At 36.8% G+C, this 23,286-nt stretch overlaps 2 pseudogenes, besides 2 other annotated features; one reads left to right on the forward strand and one right to left on the reverse strand.

The window, feature by feature from the left end:
- Positions 8,701-9,201: an enhancer, noted in NCBI's record as "H3K4me1 hESC enhancer chrX:101254554-101255054 (GRCh37/hg19 assembly coordinates)". NCBI's record gives its function as "activates a minimal SCP1, AML or CMV promoter by ChIP-STARR-seq in naive and primed H9 embryonic stem cells {active_cell/tissue: H9 hESC(naive and primed)}" and the evidence as "EXISTENCE:reporter gene assay evidence [ECO:0000049][PMID:30033119]".
- Positions 9,202-9,702: an enhancer, noted in NCBI's record as "H3K4me1 hESC enhancer chrX:101255055-101255555 (GRCh37/hg19 assembly coordinates)". NCBI's record gives its function as "activates a minimal SCP1, AML or CMV promoter by ChIP-STARR-seq in naive H9 embryonic stem cells {active_cell/tissue: H9 hESC(naive)}" and the evidence as "EXISTENCE:reporter gene assay evidence [ECO:0000049][PMID:30033119]".
- C3orf49P1 (C3orf49 pseudogene 1) lies at positions 15,773-16,414 on the forward strand (annotated as a pseudogene).
- Positions 17,644-18,166, reverse strand: MTND6P13 (MT-ND6 pseudogene 13; annotated as a pseudogene).

Consider the following 23,286-nt stretch of genomic DNA (forward strand, 5'->3'; position numbering starts at 1 on the left):
TTTAAATATATCTAAACCTACAAAAGGTACAGGAAAATACAGTATAAAAGATTACAACATGGTACACTTGTGTGAGATACTTAGCATGAATGGAGCTTGCAGGATGAGAAGTCACTCTGAGTGAGTCAGTGAGTGCATAATATTGTAGGCAGTTGTAACACAATAGTAAGTATTTGTGTCTCTAAACATATCTAAACCTAGAAAAGGTACAGCAAAATACAGTACAAAAGATAGAAAATGGTACACTTGTACAGGGCACTTACCGCGAATGGAACTTACAGACCTGAAAGTTTCTCTGGGTGAGTGGTAAGTGAATGAGTAAGTGGTAAGTGAATGTGAAGGCCTAGGACATTACTGTACACTGCCATAAACTTTATAAACACTGTACACTTAGGCTAAGCTGAATTTATTTTCAAATGTCTTTCTTCAATAAAAGCTTACTGTAACTTTATAAATTTTAAACTTTTTGACTTTTATAATAACACTTACCTTAAACACAAACACATTGTACAGTTGTAAAAATATTTTCTTTCTTTTTATCCTTACTTTATAAGCTTTTTTTCTAGTTTTAATTATGTTTTAATTTTAAACTTTTTGATAAAAATGAAGACATAAACTTACACATTAGCCTAGGCCTACACAGGGTCAGGATCATCAATATCACTGTCTGTCACCTCCACATCTTGTGCCACTGGAAGGTCTTCAGGGACAATAACATGGATGGAGGTGTCTTCTATGATAACAATGCCTTCTTCTGGAATAGCTCCTGAGGGATCAGCCTGAGGCTCTTGAGGAGATATCACTCTTTTCAGGAATATGTCCAAGATTGTTTGCTTGGTTTGTTTCTTTTTGTCATCATAGATTTGCTTGTAGACAGATAATGCACCATGCACATTCTTCTCCATTAATGAAAACCTTTTGGTGTTGGGGTCCATGTTTTCAAACTTTCTATGAAGCTTGTTGGGGTCTGTAAAATCTTTTTCTAAACCCTTTACTGTAAATTTTCTTGGGAGTTCTTCTTCTTTTTGTTCTCCTGTAATTTCTTGCCCCTTTATGCATCCTTATTCAAGTTTCAACAACTGCTCACTAGTCAATTCATCAGAAACCACCTCTGGGAGCTCCTCAGTGTTATTCTTATCCACAGGCAGGTTAAAGTTGTTTGCCATCAGCTACGGTGTCACAAAGTGATAGCAATTTTTCAGCTTCATTATAATCTTATGAGACCACTGTTGTACACGTGGTCTGTCATTGACTGAAACATCTTTATGGCACATGACTGTGTGTGTGTGTGTGTGTGTGTGTGTGTGTATACATACATAAATCTTTAAACATATATCAAGTTCAAGATTGTTTTCTTGACAATACTTAGGTCCTAGAAAAATACCTGAAACATGAAAACTGTTGGCAGGAAAAAATTATTAAATTATACCTCTAAGTAATCTCCTCAGGGAGAAAGAAAAGATTAATATAATAGAAACTATGTTAAAATAAAAGGGATACTCCTCTAAAATCTATGATAATACATTCAAAAAATATTGATAAAATGTATGAATTTGTGGAAAAAGCTAACACCTCTCCCTATACCCTGAAAGACTAAGAAGAATTGAAGAAATTAAGGTAATTAATGAGCTACCATCACAAATGTCCAAGCTTCCAGGTATGTTTTCTGACAGACCATTAAGGAATGGATATTTCTACTGCTAATGAAATGGTTCCGACTTATGAAAAAAAAATCAATTTTTTATTTAAAGAAAATAAAATATGATGATAAAACATACTGAAGAGAGCATGTTTTAAAAGTTCCTATAAATCATATTTATAAATGATGACACAATCCATCAGAATATATTAGCAATAAAATTTGATTTCTCACTAAAAGATGAACATTAAAGGACCAACCAGGATCCATAAAAAATACAGAAATTGTTTAGTATTGAATAAAATACAAACACGATTCACTTTATGGCATTAAGATAAAAGAGAACATCTTGGCATAATTTCAATAGATGCTTCAAATTCCTTTGCTAATATAATGAGTTAGAAAATGTTTGTTTCATGTTGAAATAATCGTATTAGCTGGGAATGGTGGCTCACACCTGTAATCCCAGCACCAGCACTTTGGGAGGCAGAGAAAGGAGGATTCCTTGAGTTCAGGAGTTCAAAAGCAGTCTGAGCAATATGACAAGAATCCTTCTCCACAAAAAATAAGATGGTGCACACCTGTGGTCCCAGCTTCTCAGGAGACTGAGGTGGAAGGATAGCTTGAACCCAGGAGGTCAAGTGTGCAGTGAGCCATGTTTGTGCCACTGCATTCCAGCTTGGACTACAGAGCAAGACCCTTTCTCAAAAAAGAAAAAAAAAAAGAATAGTATTATCATCATTAGAGTCAGGATTCAGGACAAATAAGCCATCTCATCAGGAAATTATTGATCATTATTGTAGAATATTGGAGAAATCATTTAAAAGAATTTGGAAAAGGATATTGCTGCCCAAGGGGACTGAGAAAAATGGCCTCAAAATCATCTGCAAGTGCTACGTGACTGACTTATACTTCTGGAACAAAATTTTGGAAAACCAAAGACTCTTTTCAGAGCCATGCATATAATCAGAGAAAAGCTGTTCATAAGTTCTAAAAAACAAAAAATGGTGTTTTGCTGAGTCACTTAATTTCTACTGGCTGTTTGAAAGTGCTAATACTTGTCAATATGCTGCACCAGTATTTTCCCCATTTTTTTAATATACTGATTTCATATATTACTGTATTATATGAGATAGCATTTTAACATACTGAATCCATTGTGACAGTTGTGTTGCGTTTTGGCTATTTTCCATTTGCAAATTCATAAAGAAAATAAAAGGATTAGCACATTAAGTTTTAAAATGCACCATAATTGAACTATAGAATGAAGACTGAGATGACAGAGGTGATTGAGATAGATGAAACCTGGCAAAGAGAGAGGAAAATTGAGGCTTGATATTATAGATTAAAAGGGAAAATTAATACATCTGATTGTTAACCAGTGGAAGAATAGGAAAAAACATTAAGTGAGCTCTGGGAGTGAGTGAATGGGAGAATAGGGACTAACTGTGCAATTGTGTGCTAATGCTGTGACTTAATGACAAAAGGTGAAATAAGAAAAACACCTTTACCACAATAAATAAAATATTCTAAGTGTCAACCCAAGGAAAACAATATAATAATAAAAGAGTATTAATTTTTTCAACAGGACTTAAATTAATAGACTCAAATAAATACATAACCAAGGACCCCCAAACAGCACATAAATAGCTAAAAAAAAAATGTCAAGAAACAGTGTCTTCAACATACCAGAATCTCTGGGATGCATTCAAAGCAGTGTGTAGAGGGAAATTTATAGCACTAAATGCCCACAAGAGAAAGCAGGAAAGATCCAAAATTGACACCCTAACATCACAATTAAAAGAACTAGAAAAGCAAGAGCAAACACATTCAAAAGCTAGCAGAAGGCAAGAAATAACTAAAATCAGAGCAGAACTGAAGGAAATAGAGACACAAAAAACTCTTCAAAAAATTAATGAATCCAGGAGCTGGTTTTTTGAAAGGATCAACAAAATTGATAGACCGCTAGCAAGACTAATAAAGAAAAAAAGAGAGAAGAATCAAATAGACGCAATAAAAAATGATAAATAGGATATCACCACCGATCCCACAGAAATACAAACTACCATCAGAGAATACTACAAACACCTCTATGCAAATAAACTAGAAAATCTAGAAGAAATGGATAAATTCCTTCACACATACACTCTCCCAAGACTAAACCAGGAAGAAGTTGAATCTCTGAATAGACCAATAACAGGATCTGAAATTGAGGCAATAATCAATAGCTTACCAACCAAAAAGAGTCCAGGACCAGATGGATCCACAGCCGAATTCTACCAGAGGTACAAGGAGGAACTGGTACCATTCCTTCTGAAACTATTCCAATCAATAGAAAAAGAGGGAATCCTCCCTCACTCATTTGATGAGGCCAGCATCATTCTGATACCAAAGCCGGGCAGAGACACAACCAAAAAAGAGAATTTTAGACAAATATCCTTGATGAACATTGATGCAAAAATCCTCAATAAAATACTGGCAAACCAGATACAGCAGCACATCAAAAAGCTTATCCACCATGATCAAGTGGGCTTCATCCCTGGGATGCAAGGCTGGTTCAATATACACAAATCAATAAATGTAATCCAGCATATAAACAGAGCCAAAGACAAAAACCACATGATTATCTCAATAGATGCAGAAAAGGCCTTTGACAAATTTCAACAACCCTTCATACTAAAAACTCTCAATAAATTAGGTATTGATGGGACCTATCTCAAAATAATAAGAGCTATCTATGACAAACCCACAGCCAATATCATACTGAATGGGCAAAAACTGGAAGCATTCCCTTTGAAAACTGGCACACAACACGGATGCCCTCTCTCACCACTCCTATTCAACATAGTGTTGGAAGTTCTGGCCAGGGCAATCAGGCAGGAGAAGGGAATAAAGGGTATTCAATTAGGAAAAGAGGAAGTCAAATTGTCCCTGTTTGCAGATAACATGATTGTATATCTAGAAAACCCCATTGTCTCAGCCCAAAATCTCCTTAAGCTGATAAGCAACTTCAGCAAAGTCTCAGGATACAAAATCAATGTGCAAAAATCACAAGCATTCCTATACACCAACAACAGACAAACAGAGAGCCAAATCATGAGTGAACTCCCATTCACAATTGCTTCAAAGAGAATAAAATACCTAGGAATCCAACTTACAAGGGATGTGAAGGACCTCTTCAAGAGAATTACAAACTGCTGCTCAAGGAAATAAAAGAGGATACAAACAAATGGAAGAACATTCCATGCTCATGGGTAGGAAGAATCAATATTGTGAAAATGGCTATACTGCCCAAGGTAATTTATAGATTCAATGCCATCCCCATCAAGCTACCAATGCCTTTCTTCACAGAATTGGAAAAAACTACTTTAAAGTTCATATGGAACCAAAAAAGAGCCCGCATCGCCAAGTCAATCCTAAGCCAAAAAAACAAAGCTAGAGGCATCACACTACCTGACTTCAAACTATACTACAAGGCTACAGTAACCAAAACAGCATGGTACTGGTACCAAAACAGAGATATAGATCAATGGAACAGAACAGAGCCCTCAGAAATAACACTGCATATCTACAACTATCTGATCTTTGACAAACCTGAGAAAAACAAGCAATGGGGAAAGGATTCCCTATTTAATAAATGGTGCTGGGAAAACTGGCTAGCCATATGTAGAAAGCTGAAACTGGATCCCTTCCTTACACCTTATACAAAAATCAATTCAAGATGGATTAAAGACTTAAACGTTAGACCTAAAACCATAAAAACCCTAGAAGAAAACCTAGGCATTACCATTCAGGACATAGGCATGGGTAAGGACTTCATGTCTAAAATACCAAAAGCAATGGCAACAAAAGCCAAAATTGACAAATGGGATCTAATTAAACTAAAGAGCTTCTGCACAGCAAAAGAAACTACCATCAGAGTGAACAGGCAACCTACAAAATGGGAGAAAATTTTTGCAACCTACTCATCTGACAAAGGGCTAATATCCAGAATCTACAATGAACTCAAACAAATTTACAAGAAAAAAACAAACAACCCCATCAAAAAGTGGGCGAAGGACATGAACAGACACTTCTCAAAAGAAGACATTTATGCAGCCAAAAAACACATGAAAAAATGCTCATCATCACTGGCCATCAGAGAAATGCAAATCAAAACCACAATGAGATACCATCGCACACCAGTTAGAATGGTGATCATTTAAAAGTCAGGAAGCAACAGGTGCTGGAGAGGATGTGGAGAAATAGGAACACTTTGACACTGTTGGTGGGACTGTAAACTAGTTCAACCATTGTGGAAGTCAGTGTGGCGATTCCTCAGGGATCTAGAACTAGAAATACCATTTGACCCAGCCATCCCATTACTGGGTATATACCCAAAGGACTATAAATCATGCTGCTATAAAGACACATGCACACGTATGTTTATTGCGGCATTATTCACAATAGCAAAGACTTGGAACCAACCCAAATGTCCAACAATGATAGACTGGATTAAGAAAATGTGGCACATATACACCATAGAATACTATGCAGCCATAAAAAATGATGAGTTCATGTCCTTTGTAGGGACATGGATGAAATTGGAAACTATCATTCTCAGTAAACTATCGCAAGAACAAAAAACCAAACACCGCATATTTTCACTCATAGGTGGGAATTGAACCATGAGATCACATGGACACAGGAAAGGGAACATCACACTCTGGGGACTGTTGTGGGGTTGGGGGTGGGGGGGAGGGATAGCATTGGGAGATATACCTAATGCTAGATGACGAGTTAGTGGGTGCAGCACACCAGCATGGCACATGTATACGTATGTAACTAACCTGCACAATGTGCACATGTTCCCTAAAACTTAATGTATAATAATAAAGAAAGAAAGAAAGAAAGAAACAGTGTCTTCTTTAAGCTCACTGGACTCTAATATTTCTATTTTATTTCATGCATATTTATTTGACTATAATCATTTCCAGTCTATATTCTTTAATTTAAAATACATAAGTCATCATGATTTGCCATTAGGAAAAACACTAGGACCATGGAGGATGATGGTAACATCCAGTGAAAGCCATCCATTTCTCCTTTCCACTGGCTCAGCCAGTAAAGGACTGACATCCCTGAGCCACAGCCAATGACTCAAACTTTGGATAGATGATCTGGGCTGAACCAACAAGTCTTCTCGGAATATTCACCCATGGAGATTGAGGAGGAGTATGGTGTGGTTCTTTGCTTGGCATTCCCCACTCCCACTATTCAAACATATGTGCCTGGTTTTTACACTTCCATATCTGAAATGGGTTGCTTTAGAAAAGGAGATAGATCAAATGTTGACGGAAGAAAGAAGTCCTACTCTGCCTGTCATATCATAATAACCCTGTCATATCATAATGCTTCTGCAGTGATGAATAGAAGGGTTGGAGCCTGTGCAAGTAAGGAAATTAGAAAAGAGATCCCTGTGTTAGTCCAGGTTTCTTAGTGGAATATATAAATATTAAGTGTGCAGATTAGAAAGAAAGGCATCCACAATCTCAGGAGACAAAGAGTAATGATGTTCTCTGGCCTGGTTTACGCTGGAAATGTAAACCCCCCCGCCAAACATAGTAATGGCAGATCTGTGTTTACTTTGATTGGGAGCTAAAACTATAACCAGGAATCCAGTCTGAGAATACACAAAAGAAGCTTCTGTCTTCCATGTGAGCTTCAGGGATAAAGGTTGCTTAGACCTTGTGGAACCTCCATCTCAATAAATGCTTAATATTCCCAGTGGCCAGAAAAGATGAGACAATAAGTCTATGTGTTAATACAAAACTTGTGTCCCAAATTTGTCTCTTAATAATTAAACTGCAGCTTTCTTTCTTGCTTGTTTTCTTTTTTCCTTCTTTCTATCTGTCCTCTTGAAAAATTCAGTACAAAAGTAATTGTGAGGGTTCAGTGACATCACTGAAAATGATGAAATAAAGAATTCTAGGGATACTTCTCTCCCCAAAATCAAATAATGATTTGGTAATAGCTGTCAGAATCCACTTTTGTAGAACTATGGAATTTAGTCAAAAACTTACAACAACCAGGGGAAGATATGATGAAGAAAGAAGCTGCTGCTTTGTGGTAACAGAGCACTGTGGAATTTTAAATTGCCTTTATACCATTCCCCTTTCCCATATTGGCACCAACCACGAGAACAGCAGCCTTTACTCTTGGTGCAGACTGCTAGTGACAGAAGGAGTAGTGCCGTCTTTACTATCAAAGAATTGTGATTGTGGATCTCAATGTATCTGGCAGCTCCTTCAAGGACTAGCACAAAGATTCTTTTAGTTTCACCCAAATTACAACATTGCTCAGGCCAAAGAGGCTTCCAGGTCAGCTTTCAACAAAAACATTTAAAGGTACATGTGTTGACTGCAGTTTGAGACTTTCATAACCCAGTCTTAATAATGAATGCAACAAGTACACAGAAGATCAATAAATAATAGAGTGCTTGAACAATAATACTAACCATCCAGACAAAAAAGACATATAGAGGCCACTTCACTCAACAATAGCAGAGTAAGGGACAACACTCAAAACAAGCAATAGACAGACCAAGAAGCCTAAGAAGAATGAGGCTGAGAGAGAAAATGCACGGGGGAAAGAGAGCTTTTAAAAGTTACTGAACAAGCAGTTAAGATGGCCAACTAGATGTAGCCAGGAGGAACATCTGCCGCCAAGAGACTGGGACATTGGGAAGACTGGCACATTCCAGGCAGATCTTAGGAGGAAAGACATTGAGAGTAGATGGAGGGAGGAAGCAGATGCTGGGCTGAAGAGGGAGGAAGCTGGGAACCCTGCATGAGACTACTGAGCACTGGTACTCATTTCTGGCCTTTAGTGACTCCTGGGGAAATAGTGAGTTGAACAGATGAGGAGTGGCCCACTCTCGCCATGTACCTCCAGAATCCTGGAAGCAGGAGACCCAATGATCCCCCAAAGACACTTGAGCTGGCAGGGAGAGAAGCATAGAAAAGTGATAAGGGCAGGACTCCAGACTATGCTGAGCCCAGAGGATTGGGTGTGGTAACATTTGTTGTGGAGCATGGCCCGGGATGCCCATCCCTTAAGGCTCACCATGCCCCTCTAGGAGACTTTAGCCTTGGGGTGACTGTTGGACCTCAATAGAGAAGGGTGGTTTTGCCAGAGAGACAGAGCCAATCTGATCTGAGTGCCCCCCGACAACTGGCCTCTACTGAAGCCTCAGCCTGACACATGCCCACTTGCAGCATAGCCTTGGATGCCCAACCAGGGTGCTTCCCAGGGGCCCCTCATCATAGCTCCTTCACTGTCAGACTGTGTCTGATCATTGGAGATCTCCAGCAGAGCAGCCCCTACTAATGTGCACCAGTCCACCTACACCCTTCTCCCGCTGCAGCCTCCCCGACATGGCCTTGCTGACATGCACTTGTCCATTCCTGCTCCCCAGCTGCTTTGACAGTGTGTGCATTCAGGCAGACCTTGCTTTCCCTCTCTCATCAGCATGCACTTGCACATGCACTGTGCTGTGCCACTGCTGCCAGCATGAGTGCACTCCACAATGTCCCCTGCTGATATGTGGGCACACAGCCACACTGCCATTGCCAGCACAAATGCACGCAGGAATGCCAATAACACTGACTGCCCACAACCCTGCGCTGCAACCACAGCTGCTGCTAATGTGCCCATGGCAACCCTGCCTCCCCCTGCCACCACCACTGCTGCCGCTGATGGTGGAAGTGCAAGAACAGACACCAGCAAACCCATCCCCACCAGAGCCCCACCCCTACCACACTGCCAGCAGGAGTGTATGCAGGAATGCTGCAGCTCCCCTCCTGCTGGTATCCAACCCCAGCCAACTCACATGCACTCTGCCACACTGCCAAGACTGCTGGCTTACATGAATGAGCACAGACCCCACTGTGACCACCCTGATGAAGTGGTTTATCCAGGACCACCCATCAGAGGGCTGTAGCCAGCAGACCAGAAATACCTTGGTCCTTTCAGCACAGCGGTACCTAACCTAGAGGGACTAGAGAAGAAAGACAGGAGCCCTGTACCAGCCCCCTAGAGTTAGAGCATGCAGCCCAGAAGTGCTGAGCTAAACCTTGGCCCTTGGAAATCTTCCAGAAACAAAGCTAGCTGACTGAACCCACCTTATACCAAAATCAAATCCCAAGGGCACCAAAGAAGAAAAAAGAAAAACAACGACAACAACAACAAAAAATCCAAAAGACAGCAGCTTCAACGATCAAAGGAACATCAGCCCACACAAATGAGAAAGAACCAGTGCAAGAACTCTGGCAACTCAAAAAGCCAGAGTGTTTTCTCATCTCAAAATGACTGCACTAGTTTCCCAGCAATTGTCCTTACCCAGGCTGAAACGGCTGAAATGACACACATAGAACTCAGAACATGAATAGGAATGAAGATCACTGACATTCAGAAGAAAGTTGAAGTGCAATCCAAGGAACTTAAGGAACATGATAAAATGATACAAGAGATAAAAGATAAAATGACCATTTTAAGGAGAACCAAACAGAACAGATAGAAATGAAATACTCATTTCAAGAATTTTATAATACAATCACGAGTATTAATGGCAGAATTGAGCAAGCTGAAGAAAGCATCTCAGAGATGGAAGATGGATTCTCTGAAATAATTCAGTCAGACAAACATAAAGACAAAAACAATAAAGAAGGAAGAATAAAACCTCTGAGAAATATGAGATTCTGTAAAGAGACCAAATCTATGACTCAATGGCATCCCTGAAAGACAGGGAGAGAAAGCAAGCAACTTGGAAAACATATTTGAGAGTATCAGCCACAAAAATTTCCCAAACCTCACAAAAGAGGCCAATATTCAAATCCAGAAAATGCAGAGAACCCTTGCAATATACCATACAAGATGACCATCCCAGTGCCGGGCGAGGTGGCTCACACCTGTAATCCCAGCACTTTGGGAGGCCAAGGAGGGCAGATCACCTGAGGTCAGGAGTTTGAGACCAGCCTGGCCAACATGGTGAAACCCCGTCTCTACTAAAAATACAAAATTAGCTGGGCATGGTAGTACATGCCTGTAATCCCAGCTATTTGGGAGGCTGAGGCAGGAGAATCCTTGAACCTGGGAGCCAGAGGCTATGGTGAGCTGAGACCGTGCCACTGCACTCCAGCCTGGGCAACAAGAGTGAAACTCCGTCTAAAAAAAAAAAAAATGACCATCTCCAAGACACATAGTCATCTGATTTCCAAGGTCAAAATGAAAGAAAAAATGCTAAAAGCAGTCAGGGAGAAGGGGTAGTCATCTACAAAGGGAGCTCCATCAAACTAAGAGTGGTCATTTCAGCAGAAACCCTACAAGCCAGGAGGGATTGGGGGCATATATTCAGCATTCTTAAAATAAGAAATTTCAACCAAGAATTTCATATCCAGACAAACTAAGTTTCATAAGCAAAGGAGAGATACATTTCTTTTCAGATGAGCAAAAGCTAAGGGAATTCATTATGACCAGGCCAGCAAGACTTGCAAGAACCTTACAAGAGGTCCTTAAGGGGGTGTTAAATATGGAAAGGAAAGACAGTTACTAGCCACCACAAAAATACACTTTATTATACAGACCATTGACACTGTAAAGCCACCATAAAATAATGTCTGTATAGTAACCAGCTAAAAACATGATGTCAGGATCAAATCCACATATATTAATATTAACCTTAAATGTAAATGGGCTAAATGCCCAAATTATAATAAGAGGCATAGAGTGGCAAATTGGATAATGAAGGAAGATTCCCTGTATGCTGTCTGCTGTCTTCAAGAGACTGATCTCACGTGCAATGAAATCCATAGCCTGAAAGTGAAGGAATGGAGAAAAATTTAGCAAGCAAATCAAAAACGATGAAGCAGGGGTTGCTATTATAATTTCAGACAAAACAAACTTAAAAAACCAAATATCAAAAGAGACAAGGAAGGACATTACATAATGGTAAAGGGTTTAATTCCACGAGAAGACCTAACTATCCAAAATATATATGCACCCAACACACAAGCACACACATTCATAAAGCAAGATCTGAGAGATCTACAGAAAGACTTCAATAACCACACAATAGTAGTGGGAGACTTCAACATCCCACAGACAGTATTAGACAGATCATCGGGGCAAAAAACTAGCAAAGGTTTTGGTACCTGAACTCAACACTTAACCAAATGGATTTAACAGACACCTACAGAACTCCCCACTCAAAAACGACAGAACATTCTTCTCATCTGCACCAGGCACATACTGTAAAATTGACCACACAATCATCCATAAAACAAATCTCAGCAAGTTAAAAAAAAATCATACCAACCACGCTTTCAGATCACAGTGCAATACTATATAAATAAATACTAAGAAAATCACTCAGAAACCATAGGATTATATGAAAATTAAACAGCCTGCTCCTGAATGACTTTTGGGTAAACAATAAAATTAAGGCAGAAATCAAGAAATTCTTTGAAACCAGTGAGAAGAAAAATACAACATATCAGAATCTCTGGGACACAGTTAAGCAGTGTTAAGAGGGAAGTTTATAGCACTAAATGCCCACATAAAAAATTAGAAAGATCTCAAATTAACACCTAACATTACACCTAGAAGAACTAAATAAACAAATACAAACCAATGTCAATCCTGGCAAGCGAAGAGAAATAACCAAAATTGTAGCTCAATTGAACAAAATTGAGAAGTGAAAAACCATACAAAAGATCAAGTAAACCAGCTGGGCACAGTGGCTCATGCCTGTAATCCCAGCACTTTGGGAGGCCGAGGCGGGCGGATCATGAGGTCAAGAGATCGAGACCATCCTTGCCAACATGGTGAAACCCTGCCTCTACTATAAATACAAAATAAATATTGGCTGGGCATGGTGGCATGCACCTGTGGTCCTGGCTACTCAGGAGGCTGAGGCAGGAGAATCACTTGAACCCAGGAGGGTGAGGCAGGAGAATCACTTGAACCCAGGAGGCAAAGATTGCAGCGAGCCAAGATCGCGACACTGCACTCCAGCCTGGTGACAGAGCGGGACTCAAGAAAAAGAAAAAAAAATTCAACTAAACCAAAAGTTTTTTTTTGAAATAATATATAAGATTGATAGAAGGCTTGCTAAACTAATAAAGAAAAAAAGAGAGAAGATCCAAATAAATGCAATCAGAAATTAAAAAAGGGGAAATTACCACCGACCCCACAGAAATACAAAAATCCCTCAAAGACTACTAAGAACACCCCTATACACACAAACTAGAAAACCTAGAAGAAAAGGATAAATTCCTGGCAAGATGCAACTTCCCATGATTGAACCAGGAAGAATTGAATCCCTGAGCAGACCAATAATATTTTCAAAAATTGAATCAGTAATAACATGCCTACCAACCAGATAAAAAGCCCAGGACAAGAGGAATTTACAGCTGAATTTTACCATATGTATAAAGAGGAGCTGGTACCATTCCTACTGAAACTATTCCCAAAAATTGAGAAGGGAGTCCTCTATAATTCATTCTGTGAGGCCAGCATCATTCTGATACCAAAATCTGGCATAGACACAAAAATAAAAAAAAAGGATTCAGGCCAATATTCTTGATGAACAACATACTATGAAACCATATCCAGTAGTATATTAAAAAGCTAATCCACCATGACCAACTAGGCTTTATCCCTGGAATGCAAGGTTGGTTCAACATATGCAAATCAATAAATGTGATTCACCACATAAACAGAACTATAAACAAAAACCGTATGATCATCTCAATAGACCCAGAAAGGCTTTTGATAAAATTCAACATCCTTTCATATAAAAAACCCTGAAAAAACTAGGCATCAAGAGAACATACCTCAAAATAAGAATGATCTATGACAAACACACATACTGGATGGGCAAAAGCTGGAAGCGTTCTCCTTGAGAACCAGAGCAAGGCAAGAATGCCACATCTCAATACTGCTATTCAACATAGTACTGGAAATCCTGGCCAGACCCATCAGGCAAGAGAAAGAAATAAAAAGCATTCAAATTGGAAGAAAGACAGTCAAACTGTCTCTCTTCACAAAAATATGATTTTATACTTAGAAAACACTATAGTCTATGCCCCAAAGCTCCTAATTTTGATAAACATCTTCAGCTGAGTTTCAGGATACAAAATCAATGCACAAAAATCACTAGTGTTCATATACACCAACAACTTCCAAACTGAGAGCCAAATCAAGAAAGCAATCCCATTCACAGTAGTCACATTAAGAATAAAATACCTAAGAATACAGCCAACCAGGGAGGTAAATGATATCTACAATGAGAATTACAAAATACTGCTGAAAAAAAATAAAAGATTCACAAACAAATGGGAAAACATTCCATGCTCATGGATAAGAAGAATCAATATTGTTAAAATGGCCATATTGCCCAAAGCAATGTATGGATCACAGTGCAATATTATATAAATAAATACTAAGAAAATCACTCAAAAACCATAGAACTATATGAAAATTAAACCACTATTTCTATCAAACTACTAATGAGATTCTTCACAGAATTAGAAAAAAATATTTTAAAATTCATATGGAATCAAAAAGAGCCCTAAAAGCCAAGGCAATCCTAAGCAAAAAGAACAGTCAGAGGCATCACATTACCTGACTTCAAACTATACCACAAGGCTACAGTAATGAAGACAGCATGGTGCTGGTACAAAAATAGACACAAAGAAACAGAATAGAGAGCCCAGAAACCATGCCACACAACTACAACCATCTGATATTTGACAAATTTGACAAAAACAAGCAATTGGGAAAAGTTCTCTCTATTTAAAAAATGGTGCTGTGATAACTGGCTAGTATTATGCAGAAGGTTGAAACTGGACCCATTCCTTATACCATATAAGATGTATTTAAGGCTTAAATGTAAAACCTGCATCAAAATAAAAAAAGCTACTGGAAAATAACCTAGGAAATGCTATTCTGAACATAGACTCTGGAAAGATTTCACAACAAAGATGTCAAAAGCAATTGCAACAAAAGCCAAGAATTGACAAATGGGACCTAATTAAACTAAAGAACTTCTGCAAGCAAAAGAAACTACCAAAAGAGTAAACAGACAACCTACAGAGTAAACAGACAACCTACAGAATGGGAGAAAATATTTGCAAACTATGCATCCAATAAAGGTCTAATATCCAGAGTCTATAAGGAACTGAAATAAATTAACAAGCAAAACCCAAACAACCCGTTAAAAAGTGGGCAAAGGATATGAGCAGAGACTTCCCAAAGGAAGGCATACACATGGCTAACAAGCCTATGAAAAAATGTTCAACATCACCAATCATTAGAGAAATGCAAATGAAAACCACAATGAGATAGCATTTCACACTAGTCAGAATGGCTATTATGAAAAAGTCAGAAAATAACAGATGCTGGTGAGATTGTGGTGAAAAGTACATGCTTATACACTGCTGGTGGCCATGTAAATTAGCTCAGCCATTGTGGAAATCAGTTTGGAAATTTCTTAAAGAATTTAAAAGAGAAATATCATTCAATCCAGCAATCTCATTATTGGGTATATACTCAAAGTAATATAAATCATTCTACCATAAAGTCTCATGCATGTGTATGTTCATTGAAGCACTATTCAAAATAGCAAAGAGATGAAATCAACCTAAATGTCCATCAACGATAGACTACAGAAAATGTGGTACATATACACAATGGAATACCATATAGTCATTAAAGAGCATGAGATCCTGTCCTTTGCAGCAGTGTGGATGGAGCTGAAGGACATTATCCTAAGCAAAGTAATGCAGGAACAGAAAACCAAAGACCACCTGTTCTCACTTATAAGTGGGAGCTAAGCATTGAGTACACATGGACACAAAGAAAGGCACAACAGACACTGGGGCCTACTTGAAGATAGAGGGTGAAAGGAGGGTGAGGACCAAAGAATTCCCTATTGGATACTATGATTATTACCTGAGTGATGAAATAATCTGTACATCAAACCCCAATGACACACAATTTGCTTATATAACAAACCTGTGCATGTGTCCCTGAACCTAAAATAAAAGTTTAAAAAAAAAAAGAAATAAACAGAGCTGGTACCACAAATGATTTCTTTAGCACCTGAAAGGGAATAAGGAAAAGACTCTAAAAATTTTCTACATACTTTACCCCAACCAGCCCAGACCTTTACGGTGAACTCAGTCATTGAATGATTTTGTATTGATGTCTGTACGCTCAAGAGCTGAAGAAATCTTAAATGGGTACTACAGATCTCAAGTTGACAGCAATGAAATCAACCTAAATGCCTATCAAAGGTAGACTGGATAAAGCAAATGTGGTATATCTACCAGAACACTTTAAGGTTGCCTACGAAAAAATTGACCAGTACCAAACATTGCAGCAACACAAAAAGAAAAATTGCTCATTCAAAAGGAAAGGGATTGTAAGGTGGCATAGAGCTGTGTCTACAAGCTTCATTAAACAAAATATATTGGACCCCTAAAATCATCCAGATAGGGATAGGGACATGAGATTTGAGCAAACTCAGAAAAAAAATTGATGAAGAAAGTGAAGACTGCTTTTGGGAGGGTGCTGTTACACAAGTACAGAGGAAAGCCAGCAAGTGCTAGAAAAGAGGGATCCACTAACCATAAGGGAGACCGCCTGTCAAACACAGAGCTTGTTCCTAGGATTGTCAAGAAGCTTTCATATCCCAACTTATTTACACCCAAAATGAGAAAACTCTCAGAGAATTGTAATCCAAGGCAATTTATCATTTTGTTGGGGTCAAGAGGAATAATGAAATTAGAATGGATTTTCTTGCTACCCAAGTATGACATCTCTAAGGAGCTTGTCTGAAATGCAGAATCTCAGTTTCCACCTGAGTCTTCTGAGTCAGAACCTGCATTTTAGCAGGATCCTCAGTTGACTTGTATGTACCTGCATTTTGAGAAGCATTGGATTACATTGCTTTGAGGTTCCTCCCAGTCCAATTAATCAGTGGTGCATTCAGTCTAAAGTCAATTTTTATTTAACTATATATTCATAAGTGTGCCTATATAAGTGTGTATGTGCATACATACATATACATATATGTTAGAAAATCATACTAAAAGGGGATTTTTTTGTTTTGTTTCTGGAGAAAGTGATGCAGACTTTCAAATGGCTACTTTTAACAGTGGAGGGTGTAGTGAGAATTAAATGAATAACATTTATAATTGGTAAGTCATTAAAAACTCCCTGTATATACTGGGGGAATAAGAAAGCCATATGCATGTCCAGGAAAGACTCATGATTAGTAAAGGCTTGAAAATAATCTAGTTTTCACTTCTGGCTGACCTTCAGGCTCCACACAAGCAGCGAGTGAAGGGTAAAGTTGATTTGTAAACATCCTGGTTAAGCATTGAAGGAGTGCCCTAATAGAAAGCCAATAAGTAAAGACTAATATAATATTTTTTCTTTTTGTTTTCTTTTTTTCTTTTTTGTTGATACCAGTATTTAAGAAAACCTCTCTCAAAATACTAGTTGACCACTATGCTAATGAGACAAAGACTTCAGTGGCCTCACATGACAAGGAAGGCAAGCTTTACAAAAAGAGTTTAGAAAAATCACCAAACAAACAACAATAACACTACCTCCAAAATAGCAACAACAAACCCCAGGTGGGACAGGGGTATATTGTTTCTAGAGTTGTCACAGTAGCTTATTTCAAATGTCAGATTTTCAACAAAAATTATGAGGCATACAAAAAACAAAGTATGGCCCACTGAAAAGAAAAAAAGAAATTAATAGAAACTGTTCATGGCCTGGGCATTGGATTTACTAAACAGAAACTTTAAATCAACTATCTTAAATATGCTCAAAGAGTTAAGAAAATCATGGACAAAGAACTAAATCAAAGCAAGAGAATGGTGTCTCATCAAATAGGGAATATTTCCTCTCTTTCTTTATCTCACTTATTTTTCTAGCCATGCTTCTTATTATTTCCCTCGAGTAATCTCAATTACAATAAAATGCTAAAGATCAACTAGCCGCTACCATTAGCCAGCTACCATAGCTATATAATGCAGCTTCTCCTATAGAAACTTCACAAAGAAGTCTTACTTCTTGACCCTCAAAAATTACTCAGACCTCTAAGTTTTAAAAATCAGTAACAGTTACTACTTCACCCTGCCCTGCTAGTCACATAATTATAAATAATTCTAATAATACATTTAATAAAACTCCTCGAGTAACAGCATTAGACCCCAAAACCTCAGGATTGAGATTCCCCTCAGTAGCCATTGCTATAGTATTATACACAAATATCACTAATATACCTCCTAAATAAATTAAAAATACAATTAAACCCATAAATGTACCACCAAAATGTAACACAATGCCACAATTTACCCCCTCAGTAAAAATTAACCTCAATCCTCCATAAATAGGAGAAGGTTTTGAAGAGAAGCCCACAAAACCTACATCAAAGACAATACTTAATAAAAATACAGTATATGTCATAATTCTCACATGGTATCTAACTATGACCAGTGACATGAAAAATCATTGTTGTATTTCAACTATAAGGACTCTAATGACCAACATACAAAAATTCACCCCCTAAAAAGATTATTAATCATTTATTTATTGATTCATCAGCACCATCAAATATCTCATTATGTGCCTTCCCCATTAATTATGTACTAGTACTATTTATGCCTGAACATACATTATACACTTATGTCTTATTGTACATTAAATTATGTCCCCCATGAATATTAAGCAGGTACATAAAATAACAACCCATCATATGTTAAATTAATCCATACGGAATCACTGATTTTTCCATATGAATATTGTCCACTACAGTGTTTTCTCATGATACCACATAGGACATTTTATTATTGCTCATACATAGTACATATAAGTCAAGTCATTTCTTGACAACATGCTTATCACTTCCAACAAAATTTCTTACCTATCAAGCCTCGACAAACCAGCAACCCACTCAGGAAATGTCCCTTTCCCCTCTCCAGGCCCATGAAACTTGGGGTTTCTAAAGTAAAACTATATCTGGCATCTGGTTCTTACTTCAGGACCATAAGATCAAGATTGCCCAGTTGTTCTTCTTAGATAAGACATTTTGATGTATTAGTGACTAGCTGCCTCATGATCACTCACGAATGCACTGCCATTCATTTGATATTTCTAAATTTTGGGTGATGATATGACTCAATATGGCTGAAAAAGCCTAGGCCCAGTCAATTTCATTGTAGCTGACCTTAAATTGACTATTACACGTTCACATTGTAAGCATAAGTTGATAATTTATTTATGCTTGATGGACATAATAAAAATAAGATACAAACAGGCACACATAGACATGCACACAGGAATTATTTCTAGACACATGTATGATTAACTCTGCAACCTCCCCTCAACCCCAGGTTAATATAATTAATACAAGTCTTTTATTCTTAAAAAAAGCAGGAAATCTTATACTTACCATCTATGGCGAGGCCTCACATATACCTATTTATAATTTAATTGATTTTAAATCCAACTGTAACTTTGACTAGAATTAAATTTTAGCCAAATTCCCAATTAAAGCATTTTCAAAAACTGCAATTTTTAAATAAAATATAGGCTTTCTGGGCTAAAAATTTTCCTTTTTCTTTACAAAGTTACTAAAAATAACCTCAGTACTAGCATAGCACTTCAGCTTACTATTTTTTCCCCAAGAGGGATTTCTCCAGATTTAAGTTAGTGTAGCTTAATATGGTAAAGCAAGGCACTGAAAGTGCGTAGATGAGTTCATGTAACTCCATAAACACACAGGTTTGGTCTTGGCCCTTTTATTAATTTTTAGTACAGTTGCACATTGAAGCTTCCACATCAGAGTGAGAATCCTCTTTAGATTATCAAAGATCAAAAGGAGCAGGCATCAAGCACACTAACTGTAGCTCATAACACCTTGCTCAACTACGCCCCCACGGGAAACAGCAGTGATAAAAATTAAGCAATAAATAAATGTTTGATTAAACTATACTGATTTTCCTTGGGGTTGGTAAATTTTGTGCCTGCCACCATAGTCATACGATTAACCCAAATTAATAAAACCCAGCGTAAAGCATGTTTAAGATTCTTACCTCAATAAAGCTAAAGTTTAAGCCATAAAAAGCTACAGCTAATATAAAAATAATCTATGAAAATGACTTTACTGTACTGAGAACATGATAGTTAAGACCCAAACAGATTAGATACCCTACTATGCTTAGCCATAAACCTAGATAACTTATTAAATGAAGTTATTCACTAGAGTACTACAAGAAACAGTTTAAAACTCAAAGGATTTGGTGATGCTTTGTAGCTCTCTAGAGAAGCCTGTTTTATAATTGGTAAACCTAGATAAACCTTATCATCTTTTGCTAATTCAGTCTATATACCATCATCTTCATCAAATCCTAAAGAGGACTTAAAGCAAGCACAAGTAAATACATAAAAATATTAGGTCAAAAGTGTAGCTTCTGAGATGGAAATAAATAGGCTACAGTTTCTAATCTTAAAATATTCATGACAACTTTTATGAAATCTAAAGGCTAAAGGAGGATTTAGTAGTAAATTAAGAATAGAAAGCTTAACTGAATAGGGCCATGGAGCACACACACACTTTCCACCATCTTCCTCAAATATCCCAATAATACTACATTTGTAATAAACAAAAATTTATATATCAGAGGAGAGAAGTCATAACAAGGTAGGTGTACTGGAAAGTTTGCCTGGAATAAATCATAATATGGCTTAATCTAAAGTACCCGGCTTACTCCTGGGAGATTTTACATTAACGTGACCACTTTGAACTAAAGCTAGCTGCAACCCCTAATAAATTAAACTGCAATAATTATTTAAACTAAAACATTTATCCAAAAATTTAAAGTATAGAAGATAGAAATTCATTTAGGTGCTATAGTTAAAGTATGGGAAGGGAAAGATGAAATAGCAATTCCAAGTACAAAAAAGCAAAGCTCACCCCTTATACCTTTTGCATAATGAATTATCTAGAATAATTTCACAAAGAGAACTTCAGCCCAAACCCCTAAAGCCAGACAAGCTACTCACAGTTAAAAGAACATACTCAACTATATTACAAAATAATGGGAAGGTCTATGAATAGAGGTGAAAAGTTTATCGAGCCTGGTGATAGCTGGTTGTCTAGAACAGGATTTCAGTTCAACTTTAAATTTACCTACAGAGGCAGTAGATCTTAATGGAAATTTATTTTATTTTATTGTTTTCCCAAAAAGTGGTCAAAATTACTGTCCTTTAATATAAAATGGTAAAAAAGAAAAGGAATAAAAACTCTGTAACACGAATTCTAAAATTTTAATAACACATTCAAAGACAAAAATATTAACCCATTCTAATAAATAGGGTATATTTAAATATTAAAATAGAACATTATTATAATCTGTAAAAATTCACCAAGCTATACACTTCTGATTTGCTTACTTTTTTGAATGCGTGTTATATTTCAATGCAAAGTTTACAAATATAAACAAATTTGATTTATTTGTGCCAGTGGATGTGCTATTTTACAGGTGAAAATGATGCCTTAACTTATTGAATAACATATTGTAAATATCCTTTGCAGGTTTGAAGTTGGGTCACAATTTCAAGCGACTGTAATGCTGTTTTTGTTACTTCAAACTTTCTTTTAAACCACCATGGCACATGTATACCTATGTAACAAACTTGCACATTCTGCACATGTATCCCAGAACTTAAAGTAAAATAAAAAAAGAAAGCTTAATGTAAATTTAAATGTTATTCTAAAGAGGAATAACTCTTTTGACATAGGAAACAACCTTACTTAGAGAGTTAAACACTACGCAGATAGAACACTAGACAGAAAGTCAATAAGGTAACAGAAAACTTTAACAATTTACAAAACAATGAGACTTAATGGACATATATAGAACATTCTACTCAGCAACAGCAGAATACACATTCTTTACATGTGTATGTGGAATATTGCCCAGACTTGACTACATGTTAGACTGAAAGACAAGTCTCTAAATTTTAAAAGATTAAAATTATACTAAGTATCTTTGCCAACTATAACAGAATCAGTAACACAAATAAAATGAAGAAATTCACAAATGAATGAAATAGAACAATATACTCTTACACAACAAACTGGACAAAAAGGAGTGACATAATTACAAATGAAATTAGAAAATATTTTGAGGTGAATGAAAATGAAAACAGAACAAATCAAAACCCATGGGGGGCGGGGGGTGCAGTGAAAGCAGTTCTCAAAAAGAAATGGATAGCTTTCAATGCTTACATTAGAAAAGAAGAATGATCCCAACTTAACAACCCAACTTTACACCTTAAAGAACTAGAAAAAGAAGGGCAAGCTAAATCCAAAGCTATCAGAAGGAAAGAAACAGTGATTAGAGTGGAGATAAAACAGAGAATAGAGAGCAATAGAATCAATGAAACCAAAAGCTTTCTGAAAAGATCTACAAAATTTACATACTTTAGCTAGACTGGGCAAGAAAAAAGAGAAAAGCCTACAATTATTAAAATCAGAAATGAAACTTGGGATATTACTACAGACTATAAAAAAAGGGATTTTAATAGAATAATATAAACAATTGTATACCAACTAAATATATAACCTAATAAAATGTTTACATTTCTAGTAAGACATAAATGAACAAAAATGTCTCAAGAAAAAAATGAAAAATCTTATTCTACCTTTACAAAGTAAAGAGGTAGAATCAGAAATCAAAAATCTCCTAACGAAGGAATCCCAGGATCAGGTGGCTTCACTGGTGAAATCTAGCAAACAGTTAAAGAAGAATACCAACCCTTCTCAAACTTTCCCAAAGAATAGAAGAGTAAGTAACATCTCACAACCATTCTATGAGGCCAGTGCTCCCCTGATATTAGAATCAGACAAAGACATCTGAAGAAAAGAAAATTACAGACCTTATGAATATACATCCTGAATAAATACTAGCAGAAATCTTGAACAAAATACTAGCAAACAAATCCAGTAGTATATTTAACAGTATTGCACATCACAAGTAAGTGGGATTTATCCAAAAATTACAAGAATGGCTTAACATACAAAAATCAACCAATGTAATATACCATGTTAATAGAATAAAGGGGAAAACATCCCATGATTATATTAATTAGTGCAGAAAAAAACCATTTGACAAAATCCCACACATTTTCATGATAAAAAAATTTTAAAACTAAGAATAAAAGAGATATTCTCAGTAGCATAAAAGGCACACATAGAAAATTCACAGCTTACATTTTACTCAATGATGAAACACTAAAACCTCTTCCTCTAAGATCAGGAACAAGGCCTAGGATACTTGCTTTTACCACTGTTATCTAACATTATAGTTAAAGTTCTAGCCAGTGCAATTAAGTAAGAAGAAAAATAAAAGGTAAGCAAATGGGAAAGGAAAACATATATATCTATACACAGATGACATCATCCTATGTATAGAAAATCCTAAACATACTACAAAAAAGAAACTGTTACAGATAATACATAAATTCAGGAAAGTTGCAGTAACTTAGATCGCCACATAAAAATCAATTGTATTTCTATATACTAG

This window comes from Homo sapiens, chromosome X (assembly GCF_000001405.40).
Source record: "Homo sapiens chromosome X, GRCh38.p14 Primary Assembly".
In the NCBI taxonomy this organism is placed as follows: domain Eukaryota; kingdom Metazoa; phylum Chordata; class Mammalia; order Primates; family Hominidae; genus Homo; species Homo sapiens.